Raw genomic sequence first — 1,722 nt, forward strand, 5'->3', positions numbered from 1 at the left:
GCTGAAGTGCAGTGGCATGATCACAGCTCACCATAACCTTGAATTCCTGAGCTCAAGCAATCCTCCTGCCTCAGCTTCCCTAGTAGCTAGGACTACAGGCACATGCCACTTCATCCAGCTAATTAAAAAAAAAAAAAACTTTGTTTTGTAGAAATAGGGTCTTACTATTTTGCCCAGGCTGGTCTCCAACTCCTGGCCTCAAGAGATCCTCCTGTCCCACCTCCCAAAGTGCTAAGAGTACAGGTGTGAGCCACTGTGCCCAACCCCTCACTGTTTCTCATTCACAAGCTATACATTGGTCTTTTTCCTGTTTCTTTGATGTGCCAAACACTTGCTTCTCCTTCTGCCGGGGACAATTGCCTCTGGTCTTTATCTTTTCATCCACACTAAATGTATTGATATTCTAATACAGATAGCATTTTCAAACAGCCAAGTTATTGTTTTTGTCATTCCCTTTTTCTCTGAGCCATTGGGGAGCTGTTGGCTGGTTGATCATGCTCTGTTTTCCCTTCCTTCTTAGGCATACAGGAGACTCTACTTCTTAACTGACCATGTGGTCAGTTAAGGCCACGTGGTCAGTGCTAAACAATGAAATGTGAGCCTAAGTAAGAGATGTCACTTCTGAGCTGAGGTTGTGGCCCGTTTGGTATTTTCATGACTCATTTCCCGTTATCATTCAGGTCTTGGTTCAAATGCCACTCAAGGATCCCTCTCACCTCCAACCCAGTCACTGCTCACATATTTCATAGAACAAGGACCCTTTTAAAAATTGCTTGCACTGCTTTATCTCCTGTGTCTAGTACAGTGCCTCGCACATAGCAAGTGCTCAAGAAATGTGTTAAATTCACAAACAAAGTGGAAATTAGAAACATCCATGCATCTATTTATCATCCATCTATGCATCCGTTTACAAATTCATTCAACAACTTTTACTGAATCCCCATTATGAGTCAGGTACTGTGCTAGACAATGCAAAAGTAGATAAAGTAAGATCTTAGCCCTTGAGGTGCTCATAATTGCGTTTGGACAGTAAGACATGTGAGCATATAATTATGATGCCATGTAGTATGTGGGCAATAAGAGCGAAACTCCGTCTGGAAAATAAAATGAAACAAAATGGTTCCCAGTGTAGTGGCAAGGTGCTGTTTAGTGTTCCTAAGCACTAGACATGTGTGATGTGTCTTACAGATAAATCCTTGTATTAGATAAGCTTCATTCAAGCATAAATTACAGTGCTGTGGCCATAAGTATATTAAGTAATTGTCTTTCTTTTTTCTCTTTCCTTTTCTTTGGAGACAGAGTCTTGCTCTGTTGCCCAGGCTGCAGTGCAGTGGTACAATCCAGCTCACTGCAACCTCCATCTCCTGGGTTCAAGCAATTCTTGAGCCTGAGCCTCCCAAGAATCTGGGACTACAGGCGCGTGCCACTAAACCTGGCTAATTTTTTCTATTTTAGTAAAGACAGGGTTTCACCGTGTTGTCCAGGCTGGCTTCGAACTCCTGAGCTCAGGCAATCTGCCCACCTTGGCTTCCCAAAGAGCTGGGATTGCAGGCATGAGCTACCGTGCCTGGCCAAGTAATTGTAAACCAAAAATAAAATTCTAAGGCCCCCCAAGCATCTGAACGGACCTCTCCTCTCAGCCAAGGGCATTCCAGAGTTAACCTGAAGATACAGTTCAGGCCATGATGGAAGCAGGGATTAGATATATCTCATTTTACTCCT

At 43.4% G+C, this 1,722-nt stretch overlaps 1 annotated feature.

Moving 5' to 3' along the window:
• Nucleotides 280–780: an enhancer, noted in NCBI's record as "H3K27ac hESC enhancer chr5:90627976-90628476 (GRCh37/hg19 assembly coordinates)". NCBI's record gives its function as "activates a minimal SCP1, AML or CMV promoter by ChIP-STARR-seq in naive H9 embryonic stem cells {active_cell/tissue: H9 hESC(naive)}" and the evidence as "EXISTENCE:reporter gene assay evidence [ECO:0000049][PMID:30033119]".

This window comes from Homo sapiens, chromosome 5 (genome assembly GCF_000001405.40).
Source record: "Homo sapiens chromosome 5, GRCh38.p14 Primary Assembly".
Lineage (NCBI taxonomy): Eukaryota > Metazoa > Chordata > Mammalia > Primates > Hominidae > Homo > Homo sapiens.